At 35.6% G+C, this 20,311-nt stretch overlaps 1 long non-coding RNA gene across 1 annotated transcript in view, besides 1 other annotated feature; it reads right to left on the reverse strand.

Moving 5' to 3' along the window:
- LINC02531 (long intergenic non-protein coding RNA 2531) overlaps positions 1 to 20,311 on the reverse strand; it is a 138,833-nt gene that overhangs the window by 105,914 nt on the left and 12,608 nt on the right. The gene's annotated exons all lie outside the window — the stretch shown is intronic.
- Positions 10,862 to 11,410: an enhancer, noted in NCBI's record as "H3K4me1 hESC enhancer chr6:93411487-93412035 (GRCh37/hg19 assembly coordinates)". NCBI's record gives its function as "activates a minimal SCP1, AML or CMV promoter by ChIP-STARR-seq in naive H9 embryonic stem cells {active_cell/tissue: H9 hESC(naive)}" and the evidence as "EXISTENCE:reporter gene assay evidence [ECO:0000049][PMID:30033119]".

The following is a 20,311-nucleotide window of genomic DNA, read 5'->3' on the forward strand; positions in this document are numbered from 1 at the left end:
TAAAGTGGAATTGAAGGGTAGTACTTCCTACTCTTCAATTAAATTAATTTTGACAGAAGACAAACTATATTTAATTTTTCTGGGAAAAAAAAAACTCCCAGTGATTCCTCATGTTTTGGTAGAAAAACTTATCTTCCTGGGTGTGTGTCTGATGACTTATTTGCTTATAGTCACTACCAAGAACCACTCATATAAGATAAACAGTTCTGCTCTGCCTGCTTGCTCAGCTCTCCTCCTGCACCAGCCTTGCTGCCACTCCATTGGAGGAAAAATCTCAGAAGCTTTTAAACCAGAACTACTCTCTATCTTGTATAGAGGCTACTTAAAATAAACCTGAGACCCACTGGGCTGCATTCCCAGAGAGTTAGGCATTCTGATTCACAGGATGAGACAGAAGGTCTGCACAAGATACAGTTCATAAAGACCTTGCTGATAAAACAGGTTGCAGTAAATACGTTGGCTAAAACCCCCCAAAACCAAGAGGGTGATAAGAGTGACCTCTGGTCATCCTCACTGCTACACTCCCTTGAGTGCCATAACAGTGTACAACTGCCAGTGCAACATCGGGAAGTTACCCTATATGGTCTAAAAAGGTGAGGCATAAATAACCCACCCTTTGTTTAGCATATAATCAATAAATAACCATAAAAATCAGCAACCAGCAGCCCTTGGGGCTTCTCTGCCAATGGAGTAGCCATTCTTTATTCCTTTACTTTCTTAATAAGCTTGCTTTCGCTTTATGGACTTGCCTCTAATTCTTTCTTGCACAAGAACCAAGAACCCTCTCTTGGGGACTGGATCAGGACCCCTTTCCAGAAACAAAAATGAAACTAACAAACAAGCAAAATCCTGAGCAAAAAAATAGTTTTTGGGGACATGAAGGTGAAGAAGCATATGCCTGTTAGCCATGAAAATCAGGAATGACTCAGACAAACTTATCCCAAGGCAAGACATCTAACTGAGCTAGTATGTCTTCAGAGTAGCATCACTGTATCCAAAATATCTTCTGGCCCTCAGCTTGAATTATATGCATCCTTTAGTAAACTGCTAAATTTAAAAGCTTGAGGATTCAGTTGACTTAAGAAACCTCTCTGTTGATAATGAAAACTTGCCTAAGAGGGTTATAGATTCTTTTTCAGCCATTTACACACGTGTTTACGTTTGTTCAACAGGATGCATTCCTTCTCACACTAAGCTGGGACAGGTACACAGAAGAAATGGCAAAGATTTAATACACAGGAGCACAGCACATAAATTTGTACATTGAATTAAAGGAGCATAGTAGGGCAAAAATTTAGTTTCACAGAATATGACCAGGGCATACAGGGTGCTGAAAAGAGGCAAACAGAGAAAAGGTACAGAAAAACATACAGCACTAAACAAATGAGTTATATTCATCACACGTTCAAGTTCAGTCCTATATCCAGGAAAAAGGAAGTAGGCTTTCTTTCCTTATTACCTGACCACACAGCATTTATCTCTGCTGTTAGGAACCAGAACATGGGCTACTAATACAATTCTTTCAAGCTATAGATTGATTCATTCAAGCTATAGATCATCGTTGGGTTGACCAGGAACCCAATCAACTAATTATGTTCTTAATTGTAGGTTAAAAATGTGCCCAATGTTCCAGACTACTTAAGGATTATGTTCTTATTTTTTTAAAAAGTAATAATACAGTAAAAATATCTGTAATTGGATATTTTGTGATAATTTAACTAAAATATATATTTATTGTTATTATTTTTAATGTATTTATCAAGAACTTGTAAGAGAAAATGCAAATTAAAAGCATGAGGCTTAACTCTCCCTGTTGAAAGTAGCGAAGAAATTTTCCTCTTTTCCTTTTTCTTAGAGCACTCACACTGGAAAAGTTAAGCACTTTCTCCTCTCTTTTGAAAACTATATAGGCCTTTGTTGGCTTTATGATCCATGAATATCTTTCTCAAGGCTCTGAGAGCCATTTCCTTTGTTAAATTAAGTTTAGTTTTTGTTATCAGTTTAGCCTAAAGCTGCCTCCATACAAATTTTAAGTTTTGCCTGATTTATCCATACGTAATGAACTGTAACCTAACTGATGTAAATAGACTGTAACCTACTCTTGTGCCAATGACAGAGTTTCAGCCAATCAAAGGTGGCTAACTGTTCAACTTACATTAAAAAATGCAAACATACAACTGTAACCAATTTAACTATTCCTGTACCTCACTTCTGTGCCCTGTATGCCACTTCTTTTTTGGTCCATAAATCCTCTCTGATGATAGGCAGCACCAAAATCATTCTGAGTCTATTCTCGTTGGAAGTGGGGACTTCCCAGTTTGTGAACTGTTCTTTGCTTAATTAAACTCTGTTAAATTTAATTTGTCTGAAGTTTTCCTTTCAACACTTTGAAACACTTAACGTCAATGGAAATTGCACCCCATCTCCAAGTCTGTTTGGGAGGATAGGAGTCTAATTTCTGGGGGTTCCTTGCTCCAAGTTGCAAAACTACCTCCTGTCATAAACATATGAGAAGTTTTGTTGTTGTTGTTGTTGTTGTTGTTGTTTTCCTGAATAAAACCAATTAACTAACACAGATGGTCACCCAAATTACCAGGTAAAGTTAGAATGAATTATGTGTGACAAATGGTGCTGTCAAGTTATCTTACTTGAAGACTTGACGACTAGTTATTGTTTATATCGAAACTTGTATGTAATGGGTTGTAGCTGCTTGGCTATGTAAGGGGTTGAAGTGTCTTTATGTCTTTGCTGTCTCCTAGCAGGTGGACTGGGATGCATATCCCATTTTAGTTTAATGCTTAATCAATATTAAAGTGTTTTTCCCCTTCTCTCTCTACTACCTTTGTAAAGAACATTTCTGAGTTGAGAGAAGATTTAGATTTTAAGTATGATTCCCCAACAAACTCAAATTTGTGTCATTATATTGTGCCACTGTTTTAATTTACTAATATATGCTCTATTTCATGGAGTGTTTGAGGTTAATTATAAGTATGGATATTTTAAAATATTAATAGAATAATGTTTAAAAGGGATGCATTTATAATATATGAGAGAAATGTTTCTAATGCAGAAATGCATTTTATGGGGTCTAAAAAATAAAACGAGCTGTACTTCATTACAGACAAAGAATAAGGAAAACATAATCACTTATAAGATTCATGCTGCCCATGAGACAACAACAAACCAATTGCTCAACAAAAGTGAAAATTTTCCTGGCATAGAGTTCTTAGATGCATTTGTCTTGAATATTCATAAAAGGCAGAGTGATTTTGTGGAAAATTATCTCAGCACCCTTCCTATAATACAAGGAATAATTCCATGCAGTTGTTTATATAGTGTCAATCAATGCAATTCAAGAGCACGATCTCAAATCAAATGCAGTAAAAGCAAGAAAACATTGAAACAATGAGTATCAAATGTCTACTCTCTTGTGGTCTGTCTGTGGGTTACATTTTAAACTTTGAGAGCACTAGATTACTCTTCATGCATTCATCCTTGAATGTTGTTTCTTCCTGGCAGAGAAAAGCAATTCAAGGTTCTATTCCCTAGCAAGAACCTGGATGCAGACATTCTGTGCTGATGCTCAAAGTCAGATTCACATACTTTACAAGTAAATAAATAAATTAGAGGTTAGTTTCTTATGGAAATGGTGTGACCAAACCAGTACTTCTCTTATTCAAATGAATAGACTGATTAAATAATGGAATATCTTCTGGCCAAGATATTCCATTTGTGCCAATATATCAAAAAGATAACCTGTAAATCTTAGTGATGCATAAACAAAATAAAAATAAGGCAAAAATAAAACAAAAGCTTCAAAAAGCTGGGTAAAATGTAACAAATATTAAAAAAACTACATAGGCAAGCATTCATGAAGAAACGTTCCTGGGGTCCCAAATTAGAGCAAGCCCCAAAACAAAGAGCATTCAGCTAGTGCTGCAGCAGCCTCTAAGAGGTTTGCCTTTCTCAGGATCATCAGGGCTTTAGTTGAAATGATATGTGGGGAAAGGAGATGAGACCATGGACCCAAGGGAGGTGGAAAGCTGGTAGCAATATCATCATATAAATCAGAGACATTTAAAAGGCTTTCCCAATATTGATGGAATGGATTAGAAAAAGTTGTCTGATTTACAATTCTTCTCTTACTTTAAGCTGTATGCCCAACCACCCATACCCATCTTCTAAGGCAATTCACTATCCAAAAGCAACAGGAAAGTTTGAAAAAAAAAAAAAAAGAAATCATGTGTTACATGACGTTGAGGGCAACTACACCACTGATACACAGACTGTTATTTTCTGATCCCTTCTTCTTACAAACGTCTAGAGTTCCACATTTCTTTCATCAGTATCATAATTCTTCATCCCACTAAACTCAAAATTTAGGCACATCTATTCAACCTGCCCACATACACACCTAGATCATAAAGTGTTACTCTCTCTACATGTTTCTTTTCCTTGAACCTAAGGGAGCAGCCCGGTGTATGTATGTGTTTGTGTGTATGTATAAAACATTAAGTGTATATAATGTATATAAGTGAATTATATACATTAATGTCTATATTAAATATACACATTGTATGTGTATGTAAAACATTAAGTGTGTATATAAAACATTAAGTAACATTAAGTAACTTAACTTATTTTAAGTTTTTAATGTAAATGACTTAAAATAAGACATTAAATTATTTTATAATTTCCAATTTTTAAAGATTATTGAAATTTAAAAACCATTTCTATTTTAAGTGATAACAAAATACTAAAGTAAAATACTATTAAATAAGAAACACATGGAAGTGGGAGGGACACAAATTTACTTAGTTCGTTGAGCATACACTTCCCATGAATATATAATATAAGATCTTACCTGAGAAATTACATTCCTTTGCTATAAAGGAAATACAGTACAACCAATTTTAACTTGCATTGGCAAACGTCTAGGAATGAGCTAGCTTCACTGGAGTTTTCCATGGTTCTAGCCCTCAGCCATAGTGAAGAGTTGGAATTTTTTAAGAAGAAATTTGGAAACAAATAAAGAAGTCTGAAGTTTGTGAGCCTAAGCCTGTTATTATCATTAAAATTTAAGGAACTATTGATTTGCTTTTTTAATTAATTCAGAAAATTATCCATACTTTGTTTTTCAACTTTATGAAAGATGGTAATAAAATCGTAAGCTTTTTACGTATGCAATATATGATTTATTGATTATCTTTGAGAGTTCTTAATTTATAAAGAGGAAAAAGGACAAGTAACACATTGGACACAAAGTTAGTATTTGACCAAGATGCTGGTCTAAAGAATGTCTCATTGACTATGAGGCAAGAGAGAAGGAAACCAGATACTTACACCTTAACAGCAAGAAAAATAATAAAAGCAAGTTTAATGTGACTCTCTTATTTATATTCAGGGTTGTGGAAGGCCTTTCTAAAATACCGTATCACTGAAAATTCTACAAATCTAACTAAAAAACAATCTATAACATTTACTCTTATATTTTGAATAAAATTTCTCAAGTAAGACATGAAAAATATATTGGGTTAATATCATTAATTTTTATAAGCCTTACATCATGCACTGTAACAAAATCTTAATTACCACATGGGCAAACAATGAGCAAAGCTATAGATACACCAATTATACATGAGGAAATGAAAATAGCTAATGAACATGAAAAATAGTCAACACTCACCACTAGTCATCAGGAAAATGTTTTTTGTTGTTGTTTTTATTTTTATTGTTTTTGCCCTTCAAATTGAAGCAAAGAAGCAGAACAAAACAAACCATAATAAATAATTATTCTAAGCATTCAGTGGAATAATCTCTCACATATTATTGGTAGAAATAAAGGTAAGAATTTTTTGCAAAGTATTTTGGCATGTAGGCATACTCTGGTGCTAAACCTCATAATTTGAATTTGTAATTACATTTGTTTCTAAAGTATTTTTCTTAAAAAGGAAAAAGATAAACATAACTACCTTTATGAGTGGACAGATTAGATAGATAGATAGATAGATAGATAGATAGATAGATAGATAGATAGATGCAGATACACCCTTTTAGCATAATTTAATATATATTTATTTTCATGCTTTTAGTGGTGCCCCTTGCTCTGACCCAGTAAGAGTTAGCAAGACAGACATAACTATATGTTTTTGTCCAATGAACATTAGAATACCACAAACACTTTTGTCCACAATACTCTGCAATACTGTATCCTGAGCTGCATGTAATCTGAAATTTGTGATATCTGCTTCGTTATGGCCTTTCATTCTAATATTTACTTCCTTTTCTCCCATGTTGATTGATAAAACTGTAGAAATAGGTAGTGCAAAGAAACAAAGAACATGTATAAATCTGTAAACCTTCATACTAATTAAGCTAGATATACAGCAACTCTGACATATTCTGAGAAATAAAAAAGGAGAAGATACAAATTAGTAAGCAATTAGGATTGGTGAGAACTTTGACATTTTGAAGCATATCATATAGTACATTTTGAACGCAGCCTGGGAAAACTGACTGTTATATGAATGAAAATTGGGAGACAATGGTTTAAAGCAAGTAGAGTGGAAGATCAGTTGCCAACATAGGATACCAAAATATAATCTTTATGGGGTCTATACTATAAGGATCCATATAGCTCTTATTCAGATTAAGTCCCATATTCAAAACACATTTCCTGAGCTACATTGAAACATTCAGGTATATTTCAAAGTCCTTTAAAATATATTAATTTCAAAACAGCTGTATTCACTCAAAGAAAGCTACCCTAGGAAAATAATCAAGATCTATTTGCAAGAATGCCCATCAAAACATGATTCATAATAGCAATTAATTGTTTATAAAGCAGATAATTCCACAATATAGAGAGAATTGAATAAAATATGTACAAATGTTCAATTATTACAGTCTGTAATGTGATATTCAGGGAAAAATAACTTTATGAGGTAATATATACAGTGTATTATTGAGTAAAAGTCAAAGCAGGAAACATAAATTACAGTATTATTCCAATCTTATCAGTATCTTATATATTTGTAAAATTACACTTTTTATGTTAGAGTAAAAACACAAAAACGTCTAGTGTTAACTCCCAGCAGATGAAATTATTTTGAATATTATATATTAAATTTATTCTGAAATTGCATACATAGTATCATGATTATCTATTACCAATTTATTTAGAATAAAACAACAAAACCATTAGAAATATTTGATCATTCAAGTGGTGAATTTAACAAAGGTTTTCTTTTGGTTATTCTGAAGTTTGTTTACATCAAGTGTAATGATATTCTAGATTATGTGCATTATGATATATTTAAAGACGTGTCAAACAGTGGTTGCTCAGTATCCAGACTTCAGGTCTTTAATTTACTATATTTGGCTAAGAATTTAATTTTAAATGTATTTTTGTGCATACTCTATGTGCTGTACACTAAGCCACTACCACTGTTGGTGAATTTACTATATTTAATAATAACTGAAATGTAAAATTTACAGAATGATCACAAGCAAAACAAATATAATGTCAATCCTGATAGTACTATTTGCATTTTTAGAAAAATTTTAAGAGATTGTCTTAGAAAAAGATACACATTGAGAAATGCATATTTTTTAAGGAACTAAAAACTTTCAGCATTTCTTACTCCCAATTCAACAGAACTCCTACTACCATACACTTGCAAAGATTATTCAAAAACTTGAAGATAGTTTTGGACAAATACTTCATCCCTTTGTCTCTCAATTACATTTTGAAGATATTTGCCTATTTTACCTGAAAGTCTCTCCCTGATAGCTGAACTTATCATAAAAAGCAATGGCATTGTATTTATTTCTCCTTATCATCCTGTGAACTTAATATTTATTTCATCTTTTCATAAGATAGTAAATTTACCAGTGGTGGTTGATATAAATGTGATGTGGCGGTGGTGATGGCTCTATATTTATAATAATATTTAAAATTAAAATGTTTTAAAAGAGTCGGCCGGGTGCAGTGGCTCACGCCTGTAATCCCCAGCACTTTGGGAGGCCGAGGAAGGCGGATCACGAGGTCAGGAGATCGAGACCACCCTGGCTAACACGGTGAAACCCCGTCTCTACTAAAAATACAAAAAAAAATTAGCCGGGCTTGGTAGCGGGCGCCTGTAGTCCCAGCTACTCAGGAGGCTGAGGCAGGAAAATGGTGTGAACCTGGGAGGCGGAGCTTGTAGTGAGCCAAGATGGCACTACTGCACTCCGGCCTGGGCGACAGAGCAAGACTCCGTCCCCCAACCCCCCCAAAAAAAGAATAAAAAAATAAAAGTGTCAATGTTTTTAAATAGGGAATTGTTACTAGTAATTATTTTTCTAATTTCAAATGCAGGTACAAAACAGGTATTTTTTCCATCATACTTGACTAATGCTAAATAATCAATGCCTTATCTTTACCTTTTCACTCTTTCCCCAAATAAATAACTCTATCAACCAATTTCATTGTATTCTATAGGCAATCTCAACAGAGCTAAGTTTTCTGCCAATCAATTTGCTTCTTCTTACTTACTATTCAGTGACCCTTTTCCCCATCTTTTACTACCTCCCACTATTCACACTTCAGGATAGAAAATAATATCTGTACAATTTTATGTCATTTCACATGGCAGAGACTGTTCCTTAAATTGCTCTAAGCAACAATAGCAATAGCAACAATAAAAACCACTAAATAATTGCAAATTACATACAAACTGTAATAAGTGCAATTAAACCCAATTCACTATGATCATTAGGTCACTCTTCTTTCAGTAAGTAACATTAAGGCCAGAGGGATGACTGGAATTCATTTAACTTAATCAAGGAGGGCTAACATAGATCACTTTTAGAAAATTCGTTTACCAGAGTCTCAAATGGTGCTAGTAAAGCAAAGGCCTACCCCATGCCCTTATCCTGAATATTCACACAGAATATAAAGAACTCAAATTGCTTTCCCTAAGAGGTTGGCAAATACCAAGGCTCTTGCTGTATATTTTCCTCCATTATTCTGGAATAATTCATTAGCAAATATTATAAGTTGGTAGTATCACAGATATGCATTAGAATAAAATTATTCTTTTTCTCTTTGTTTCATAAATAAAACACATTTAATCAGTAACTCCTGCAAAAGAGAACTGCCACCTTTTAAAATAGTGCATTACTCACTAAGTTTAATGAGATTTAGTGTGAAGTATATTAACTGAATGCTTTCCAAAGCCAGGTATATAAGGATATATAATAACTTTTACCTGCAAATAACTAATGTTTATGATATTTGTTATGTATTGGGCATTATTTGAACTGTATTATATGCATTAATTTGTTTAATCTTCCCAAAAAGTAAGTAATATTATCTCTATTTTATACACCAAAAGTCTAAAACCAAGAAATTAAGGAATTCAAGGTCACAAAGTTACTAAATAGCACAGATGGGTTTCAAATCTAGATATCTGATAAAGGTATTTTATCTTTCCTATCAAGCATTATTAAGTGTATATGTGTGTTTGTGTGGAAATGTCACGGGATCCTTAGGGTGTTGCTACGCCAGCCAGAAACCTCTGTGGCCAGCAATACCTCTGTTTGAATTTTGTTCGTGCCCACTGGGCTCGTCCCGCCCACTTGGTCCAGCAGGCTGTGATCAGCTCACATTACTACCCTGGATCCCACACCTGCCAAGGGCAAGCCAGGCGTGGAACAGCGAGGGGTGTGTGAGCGACTGAGCACAGGGGTCCAGATACTGCATACAGCCAGGCACACTGGCTGCTGTGGTGAGACAGGTAGCTCCAGGCACTGGCACAGGTGTCAGCTTTGTGCAAGGCTGTGGCTGGAACAGATGTACGCAAGCAACTTCCACTTCGGACACCAGCCTTTAGATGAGGAGAATGTGTTGGTGCCCGAAATCTCAGAGACACCAGGAGCCACATAGCCCCAAAGAGGGTGTTACAGCATGTCACAGCCCTGGTTCAGGGAGCCCTGAGGTCTGGGCTCCCAGAGAGGCCACAGTTCTTCTCTCCTCATTGCCCATAGGGCAGCAAGTGGAGGGGTGTGTTTGAGGGCAGGGGGTGTTTCAGCCCATTTGAGTTACAGCTTTCTCAATCCCAACACCCAACTCTGGCTGGAAGCTCCTTGGCTGGTCCAGCCCTGCTGCTGCTTCCTATTGCATTGGGCAGCCACCCAACACTGCTGGCAGAGGGCAGGAGGGCTATAGTGTTATAGCAGCTCTGGCTGGAGGAATCCCGAGGTCTGGACCCCCAGGATCACCACTCTTCACTCCTAAAGTCTGGGAGCATGTCACTGGCCACAGCTTAGCAAGCAGGCCAGGAACGTGTTACAGCTTCTTTTGCTCCCACCATTCAGAAGGTCCTGAGTTCTGGTCCCACATCCAGGAAGAATGAGGTTATGCAGACAAGTGGAGGGTGAGGAAGGCGGAGAGGAGCTTTATTGAGTGACAGAACAGTTCTCACGAGACCCAAAGTGAGTAGTTTCTTTCCGCAGGTAGGCCGTCCCAACAAGTGTCTGAGTCTGGCTAACTCTAGGGTTTTTATATGCACAGAATGGAGAAAGTGTATGCTAACTGGTACACACGCAGCCATGGGCAGGCCTGCAGTGCCCAGGCTGTATGTGCTGAAGGGTGCGCCCACAGGCCTGTGCCAAGCTGTCCTCAGCCCCTCCGCCATCCCTCCTGCACTCATTGGCACCCAAAGTCCAGACGGGGGTGAGTCAGTGGGGATCTGGTGTGTCAGCACCACCCCAAGAGTGTGCATACCTGACCAGGTTGCGACAGTGTCCAGACTTGGCCACAACTTTGCTCCGCACTGGAGCAGGCACTGGAAGCAGGGAGAGGCCAGTGAACAGGAGCAGGCACTGCTGAGCCTTCAGGGGCAGGGGGGCTCCTGGGGCCCCAAGAGTGCAGGGATGTCTGGGTCTGCAGTCATGGTTGGGTGGCTGCAGCTGGGCCCATGACCATGGGCTCCAACCCTGCCAACTCAATAGGGCGTGGGGCTGTCGCTGGGGATCACCTGTTCCCAGCCCCTGCAGGCTCTGCAGAGCATGCAGCCCCAGCCATACCTCTCCCACTACAGCTGTTGTCATTTCAGCGGTTGCTCCAGATTGGCTGCCACCACCATCACAAGTGTGTATTTGGGAGAGGGACGGCATTGTCTACACTAATATATTCACAAGAGGAGTTTTATGGTAAAAAAAAAGAAAAAAAAATCAAACAAAAGGGAAACAAACAAAAAAATCCAAGATAGATTTTTTTCAATAACATACCTTTACATTGTAAATAAAATCACAGAAATTAGTAATAATGATGTTTTGAGGTAACTATAAATTATTTTTACCAAATAACAATAGCTAAAATACCAACATAGTATAATATTTACTATGTCCCAGACACTAAGTGCTTTATCTGATTATCTCATCTCACAAACACCCTATAATGTGAGAACTGTAATTACTCCTACAGAAAAGAAAATGAAGACTCAGGGATACACTAGATTTTCTACCTACCCCTACTATGTGACTTATGCCATGCAAACATTTATTTAAAAGAACATTTTTTAAAAATACGTAAAAGTAAACTGTGATAGAGCACATTTAGAAAGAAGAAATGATGGTGCCAAGAACTGGAGATGGAATCTAAATTCCATTTAACACTCCTTAACCCTCTTAGTTAGCTCAACCTGCCGTAACAAAATAACCATAGGCTGGATGGCTTATTGTAGAAAAGTCCTCATAGTTCTGGAGGATAGAGGCCCCACATCAAGGTGTCGGCCAGGATGGCTCCCGGTGAGGCCACTCTTGCTGGCTTATAACTAGCTGCCATCTAGCTATGCCCTCACATGGCCTTTCTTCTGTGTGCACTTGGAGAGACAGAGAGCTCCATGACTCTTTCTTGTCTCATAGAGAGCAGATCTGTGAGATTAGCAACCACTTATATGACCTCATTTAACTTAATTAACTCCCTAAAAACTCAGTTTTCAAATATAGTCACATTTTGGGTTACAGCTTCAACCTACAAATTTGGGGGAATGAAGGCACAATTCAGTCCATATCACTCTCCAAGTACCTAAGGTTTGTGAAAAATAGGAGGGGATGTGTTGAGCTTTTGACTTGTAAAGAAACCCTGTAAGCTCCTCTAAGGAAATAGACATTTATATAGGTGTTTTTAAAGTATATATAATGTAGAATTTCACTGAATAACACAATGGACTGTTCCTTTGTAGATTTGGTAAAAATACAGATATGTTCCTCACAGAGTAATTTCTTACTCTGTCCATCAGGAAGTTATAATTTTAGGAAGCTAAGCAATTTTGATTCAGGTATGGGAGGATCTATAACTTCCGTATCAAATCTTGAGAGTTATAAGAAATACATTTTTACTTGTACTACAAAATAGGATGTACAAAATGAAGTCAAATTTCATTAAGTACCATTACGGATAAATGATTATGTTATTTTGTGGCACTAGAGGAAAACTAAGAATAATAATTCAAAATATTAATGCTATGCCATTAGCTATGTTTTTAACAGTGTTTTAATTTTTTCTTCTTGAATCTCATATCATGCTTCTGAGAAAGCCAAAATCAGAATATTATAATTATCATATCATTTATCACTGAGAATCTGAAGAGCAGAAGTTAATATTATAACAGAAGTCATTATTTCCTGAAAGATTATTATTTTTTCTATATTAATTTACAAAACATAATACCTGTTGTGCATCAAACATTGTCTGACACAATATTTTGTCTAACTGATTTAGCAAATGTTAACCAACTATTAACCACCAGTCACGTACAGTCACATGTGTATTATCTCCTGTAATGTATTTGACTTTTGTTGAATAAAGTGATGGGGTTTTTCCTCTAATATTTGCATCATGGAGAAAAAATTAAAAACAATGGAAGAAACCACCAATATTTATTAAGCATATATTTTGAGCCAGATACAATAATTTTATATTTATAGCATCTCAATTCATCTTGGCTAAAAAAATTCTATAACATAGATTACATTATTATCCCCATTTTACAGATGCAAAATCATGCCTTAGAGAAATTGAATAACTTGCCTTGAAACCCCATTCGTAAGGATTTGAACAAGAGCATTTTTATTCAGGAATCCAAGTTCTTAACCATTATACATTACAATGCCTGAAGCTTTAAAAATTATATTAATGAGATTACTCATAGTCATAGTTACTTTTTTCTGAGTTACTTTTTTGACATTTGAAAAATGTCAAAAATTATTATGTGTTGAATTTTGATTCGTTTATAGACTGTTTTAATGGAGCCTGGGATAACCATTTTTTATGGAGCTTGGGATCACAAGGCTATATAATGGGTGGTCAACAACTACTTAATTTGCATACAAATTTTAAAGCACTACCACAATGCCTTCCTCACAATACATACTTCATCAATGTTCAATGGTGGCAGCGATGCTGATGATGATGATGATGATGATGATGTGACAAGTAGCTAGTGCTGGCCACATGGTCTGATGAACGTAGAAACATCTGCCAAGAACCTACCCTAAATCTATGTTTCCGATTGGAGGGTCTCAACTAGTCTCCTTAATTTTCTTCAAAACTTTCCATGAAAAGATATTTGTCTAATTTAAACAATACAACTAACAATTCTGCAAAGTTTAAGATCTACGGTTACATTTTTGATTCCCTAGAAGCCACTTTAAATATTCAAGTCACTCTCATCACTATAAATGAATGAGAAAAAAATACAACTCAAATGATAGAAGTAAGGAAGAAATCATCCTACTGACCAATCACTGTCACAAGGCAACAGTGTATCACTATATGTAGAATTTGTTTTGGATATAATTTGAAAGTTTCAAACTTTATTTTTGCTTTGTTGTCTTTATGGATTAAAGGCTATCATACTCAGATTTGTAGCTGCATTTAGAAAGAATGGAGACTAAAAAAGGATATGATCAATTTAACTAAAAATGGTACTATCCTTTGAGGTTTAATTGTGCAAGTCTTAGGAATTCATGCTTAATCTTTCCAGTGTTAGCTGGAAATCAAAATGAGCAATGTCAACTACAAAAACATGACTTAGTAATTCAGAATAAAGCCAGCTATATGTTCTTCATTGATACCAAGATGTCACCCTTGATGTTGGAGACACAGGAATGAAAAACATATAAAAGTTCTCTGCTGCTTGTATTCTAGTGAGGGAGATAGACATTAAACATAAGTAACCTCGAATAGTGATATATGCCATGAACAAAACAAACAGGTTACTATTGTAAAAACTGGTGAGGGAGAAGGTTCCATTGATTCAATAATCAGGTATCTCTTTAAAATGGATAGGTATCTCTTCAAAATGGATATTTCAGATAAGATCTAAATTAAAAGAAAAATGGGCACGTTATTATGAGTTGAGCATTTCAGGCAGGAGAAAATGCCTGAGAGTGAAGTGATCATAGCATGGTTGAGAAATAGATAAAATCTAAAGTGGCTGGAACAGAGACGAGAGAAGTGGTATGGGATGAGTTTAAAGACATAAACAATGGCCAGATCAACATGCAATGTGAAGACATGGTAGCATTTTATAAAAGATAGATGTAATTTAATCTATCACTGAGAAAAAAATGTTTTGACACCTGTGATGGAAACAATGGCCTGGTAGAGATTCCAGAGTACAAACAGTGAGCTTTAGGCCTGCTCTGTACAATATATATGAAGTCATTCAAATTTAAATTTAAGTACATTAAAATCAAATCAAATTTGAAATTCAAAATCTCAGGCACATTAATCACATTTCAAGTTCTCAATGACCATGTGTGGCTAGCGGAATAACGAAGATAAGTAATGTTTTCATCATTGTTGCCATTCTTTGTAGACAATACATAATAGTGTTGGCAGTGAAAATGGACAATGATTGATGAATTTGCAATACGATTTGAAGACAGAGTTCAAATATGTCTATGTACACACCCATTGCTAAAATTAAATGTAGATAGAAATTTTCTTACATGGTAATATTTGGTAATGTCCAAAAGTCAATCGTGAAGAAGAAAAATACAATTGTATACGTGACTCAAGAATAAACATCATTCAAGTTATCAGGAGTAGAAAGGTATCAATGTAAAATTACTAAAGATTTAAGGTCTAAAGATATTTGAAAGCCAATAGACTTTGAGTGATTTGCCCAAGCATTACATTATCAAGCACAGAAATTGAGAGTAGAAAAGGAGGCCCTCCTAGGCTTTGTTCAATTCTGTCTCCGTAATATACTTCCAGCTCTATTAGTTATGTAATCTGGTTTTCAATCGCCAGCCTACTCTCCTCAAAGATACAAATAACTGTGTCACCAGCACTATCACAATATTTAGCATCTGATTAATGCCCACAAAATAGTTTCATGAATATTTGGATTCCAATGATAGAAAAAAGAAAGAAGAATCAACTAAAAGGTTATTTTAAAAAACTATGTGTTTGCGTAAAGTTTATAATGGGTGGCAAGAGATGGGTGGTCAATAAAATTAAATCAGTTTACACATATAACATCTATTTTTGCTTCTTTCACTGAAAAATATGGAGTATATAACATGCATAAGTAAAATATATGACAATATCACAAGATCTGGAAAGAAATGAAAATATGCTATTGTTAATATCTGTTTTTAGAACAGTTTTATTAAGATATAATTTGCATCCCATGCAATTCACCCATTTAAAATGTACAATTCCATTGTTTTGAGGAAATTTATAGAGTTATGCAAACATCACCACAGTCAATTTTAGAGCATGTGTATCACCACAAAAAGAAGTCCCATATCCATGAATGGTCACTCTCTATTCCCCCTCTCCTTACTCCCTGGACAAACACTAATGTACTTTCTGTCTCTATATATTTGCCTTTTATAAATAGTTCATATAAATGGGATCATATAATGACTAATCTTTTGTTAAGTAATTTATTTCACTAAGCATAATGTTTTCAAGAGCCACCCATGTTGTACCAGGTATCAGTACTACATTGCTTTTATTGCTGAACAATACACTTTTCCTCTCTTATCCAAGATTTTGCTTCTTATGGTTTCAGTTGCCTAATGTCAACCTCAGTATGAAAATATTAAAATGAAAATTCCAAAAATAAAGAAATTCATAAGTTTTAAATTGTGTACACTTCTGAGTGGCATGAGGAAATATCACACCATCACACTCCATTCTGCCATGAACATGAATCATCCTTTCATCCAGCATATCCATGCCATAGACACTCCTTGCCCATTAGTCACTTAGCAGCTGTCTCACCAGGTCAACTGTCTGTCATGGTATTGCAGTGCTTGTGTTCAACTATCTCTTATTTTACTCAAGAATGACCCTAGAGTGCAAGAGTAGTGATGCAGATATATTGCTACAATTGTTCTACTTTATTACTAGTTACTGTTGTTACTGCTTACCTTGCCTAATTAATAAACTGTATTATAGGTAGATATGTATAGGAAAAATCGTATTACATATTGAGTTCAGTGCTATTTGGAGTTTCGGGTATCCAGTGGGAGTGTTAGAAGCTATCCCCCACAGACAAGGGGGCACTACTATAGTCCATTATATGGACATACTATATTTTATTTATCCATCCATCAGTTGACAGACATTTGAATTATTCTATTTTTTAACTTTTTTGAAAGATGCTGCTAAGAACATATGTGTATAAGTTTTTGTGGACATGTTTGCATATTTCTTTCGGGTATATACTTATAAGTGGAACTGCAGAATCAAATGGAAACTCTCTTTAACCTTCTGAAGAACTGCCAGACTGTTTCCCAAAGTGGCTGCCCATTTTGCATTTTCACCAGTGATGCATGCAGGTTTCCATTTCTGCACATTCTCATCTTGTTGATTATAGCCATCCTAGTGGATGTGGGAAGTTGTGTAACATTGTGCTTCTGATTGTGGATTTAATTTCTTAATGACTAATGATGCTGAGCACCTTTTCATGTATTGATTACCTAGTTTTCCTCCAACATTAATGAAAATCCATCCTCTTGGTTGCCATTTGATGTGACCACAACCAGCACTATCCTTTTATCAATTATATATTCTGTACCTATCTTAACTGTGAATAAAGTTTGAAAAGGTAACAGTGAAAGACAATGCACAGAATTATCCATTGTTAGCTTGTGTTCTGAGGCACGTGTACCAATAAAAATGTTCTCCACATGAAAGCTATCACTTTGGGTCTAAAACACAGAAGCAACTTCGTATCAAGATGCACACTAGCCTGGTCACGAGTACCAGAGATCTATACTCTGCAAATGCCAGTTATTCTGAAAAGATGTAACCCTAGGAAGACTTTTATTATAATTCATTGGAAAATACCTGGGCTTCATAGTATGGGTAGTATACAGAAAAGGAAATGCAACCATTGAGTGATTTTATGATGACTTGGTGCTGATATTCCAAAGAGGACTACATGCTTGAAACCTGACCCAAGTGCATACCCGAAAACCACTCAAATCAAAGCAAGTAGGGCACACAAAAGAAAATGAACTCATCACTAAATGGTGCAGCACAGAAACATACAGTAGCTGAGGAAAGTTAGGGTCAGGACAGTTAATGCAACAATAGCAGTCAAGCCTAGTGCTTTTCTGTGGTCAGTGCAGCAATGAGACAGAGAGAATGCAGAAAAAACCCAGGGATATAAAAGGTATTCAAAATATTCATGCAAGATATTTATATGAAAAAATGATTCATAAATTTCAAAATATTTTTGCACCAAAATAAACCCATATAAACTTATAAATTGTCTGAATAGGATCTAGTTTGAGGCCCTAAAAAGGGTAAGACATCACTTTGAAAAGAGCCACTATCAGAGCAACATGAATTCTGCTAAAATTGAAGGAAGAACAAACCTCAAATTTATGGTAAAGCCTGGATGGAGGAATAGTGAAATCACTGATGCTTTATGAAAAGTTTAAGGAGACAATGCCCCAAACAAATCAGCAGTTTACTAATGGATAAATCATTTTAAGAAGAGGCAAGATGCTGTTGAAGGTGAAATCCATGATGGCAGACCATTCACATCAATTTGTGAGAAAAAAAATAATCTTTTTCACGCCCTAAATGAAGAGGGCTAATAATTAACAGCAAAAATTATAGCCAACACCATAGACATCTCAACTGGTTCAGCTTACACAATTCTGACTGAAAAATTAAAGTTAAGCAAACATTCTATTCCATGCATGCCAAACCAGTGTGCTCAGATCAGCTGCAGACAAGAGAAGAGCTTTTAATGAAAATTGTAAACAAGTGGAATCAAGGTCCTGAAACATTTCTTGGAAGAATTGTAACAGGAGATGAAACATGGCTTTACCAGTATGATCCTGAAGAAAAAGCACAATCAAAGCAATGACTACCAAGAGTAGAAAGTGGTCCAGTTAAAGCAAAAGTGGACCAGTCAAGAATAAAGGTCATGACAACAGTTTTTCGTTGTATTCAAGGGATTTTGATCTGGGCACACTGGTTTGGCATTCCGGAGGACCAAAGAATTATAACATCTGTTTATTATGAGAATGTTTAGAGAAAGTTAGCGAAAGCTTTTGCAGAATAACACCTGGAAAACCTTCACCAAAATGTCTGTCTTCACCACAACAATGCTGCTGTTCATTCCTTGCATCAAGCAAGAACAATTTTTGGAGAGTTTCAATGGGAAATCATTAGGCATTCACCCTTTGGTCCTGATTTGGCTCCTTCTGACTTTTTGTTTCCTAATCTTTAAAAGTCTGTAAATGGTGCCATGTTTCTTCTTTTATATCATGTTAATAATATAAAAAAATGCATTTCATGATTAAATTCCCAGGATCCTCAGTTCTTTAGGGAAGAACTAAATGTCTGATATCATTACTTACAAAAATCTCTTGAACTTGATGAAGCTTATATGGAGAAATAAAATGAATATTATTTTATTTTTATCCTTTAATTTCATGTTTCCATGAACTTTCTGAAGTCCCCTTGTTTCAGTAGTAAATGAGCAAGGCTTGTTATATGTTTCAAGAACCAGATAACTTAGGCCTAACACACAGAAGAAGATACACAAATAAAAAACATCAGGAAGGAGGCTTTGTCACTAATTTCCTTGGTTAAAACATTTAATAATATGAAGCAACTCTGATGATTAAAGAGGATCATAACTATGATACACAAAATTTAATTATTTGTTAAACACATGTATTCGGCTCTCAGAGCTTTTTAATAATTTATAAATAGATTAAGATATTAAACACTGGTCATACCTAAACACTTCACAGTCTTGGGGCCTAGAATGCGACCAATCTTCAAAAAGATTTCTAGAAGTGAGTCATAGGGATATTTATATAACTAACCACTAAATTTGAATGCACCTTGAGCAGCAAGGTCCAAGAGTGCAGGATTGTATCCATTTTGCTAAACACGATTTTTCCTGTGATTAGCACAATACCTAGTTATCAAAAACTATAAATTAAATGACTGGAGCTGAGAAAATGGCAATCACATATTCTGATTAGATTAACTAGAACTCACACCTTCCCAAAACACACATGCATTTTGACCATAAATCCAAACTAATACAGCATAAATGTAAAGAGACATACAACTACAGACATTGCAAGAACATTGTCCAGTTATTCATATATACCTTCTGAACATACCAGACATGTCACCAGGTTTAGAATAATCTATAATATATCAAGATGTGATGGGTAATTTTAAATGGCATCTTACTGGTCCCTGGTACCCATTAGTTCTGTTAAACACCAAAAATGTTTGTTGCTTTTTCGAAAAAGTCTAGATGTGGCTGAGAAAATATTTTTTCAATGTGATTAATTTTTAAAATCAATGGACTTTGAGTAAAGCAGATTATTCTGCATAACATCAGTGAGTCGCATCCCATCAGTCGAAGGCCTTAGGACAAGGACCAAGGTTGCTCAAAGAAGGAATTCTCAAGACTGCAACATAGAAACTGTGCCTGAATTTTCAGCCTGCTGCCCTGCAAAATTCAGTCTCAAAACTGAATCATCAATCCATACTTGAATTTCCACCCTGCTAGCCTTCCCTTCAGATTTGAACTTGCCCACTCCCACAATTTTATAACCTGGTTTCTTAAAAGAAATCTCTCTCTTTCTGTCTCTCTTTATCTCTCTCTACCACTACCTGTACCACTACAATCTAGATCCAAGCTACCAGAGTCTCTATCTGGATTATTGCTATGTATCAATCTGTCTATCTGTCTGTCTATTTATCTATCCACATGCACACACGTGCATGTACGCATGCATGTGCGCACGTGTGTGT

This window comes from Homo sapiens, chromosome 6 (genome assembly GCF_000001405.40).
Source record: "Homo sapiens chromosome 6, GRCh38.p14 Primary Assembly".
Taxonomy (NCBI): domain Eukaryota; kingdom Metazoa; phylum Chordata; class Mammalia; order Primates; family Hominidae; genus Homo; species Homo sapiens.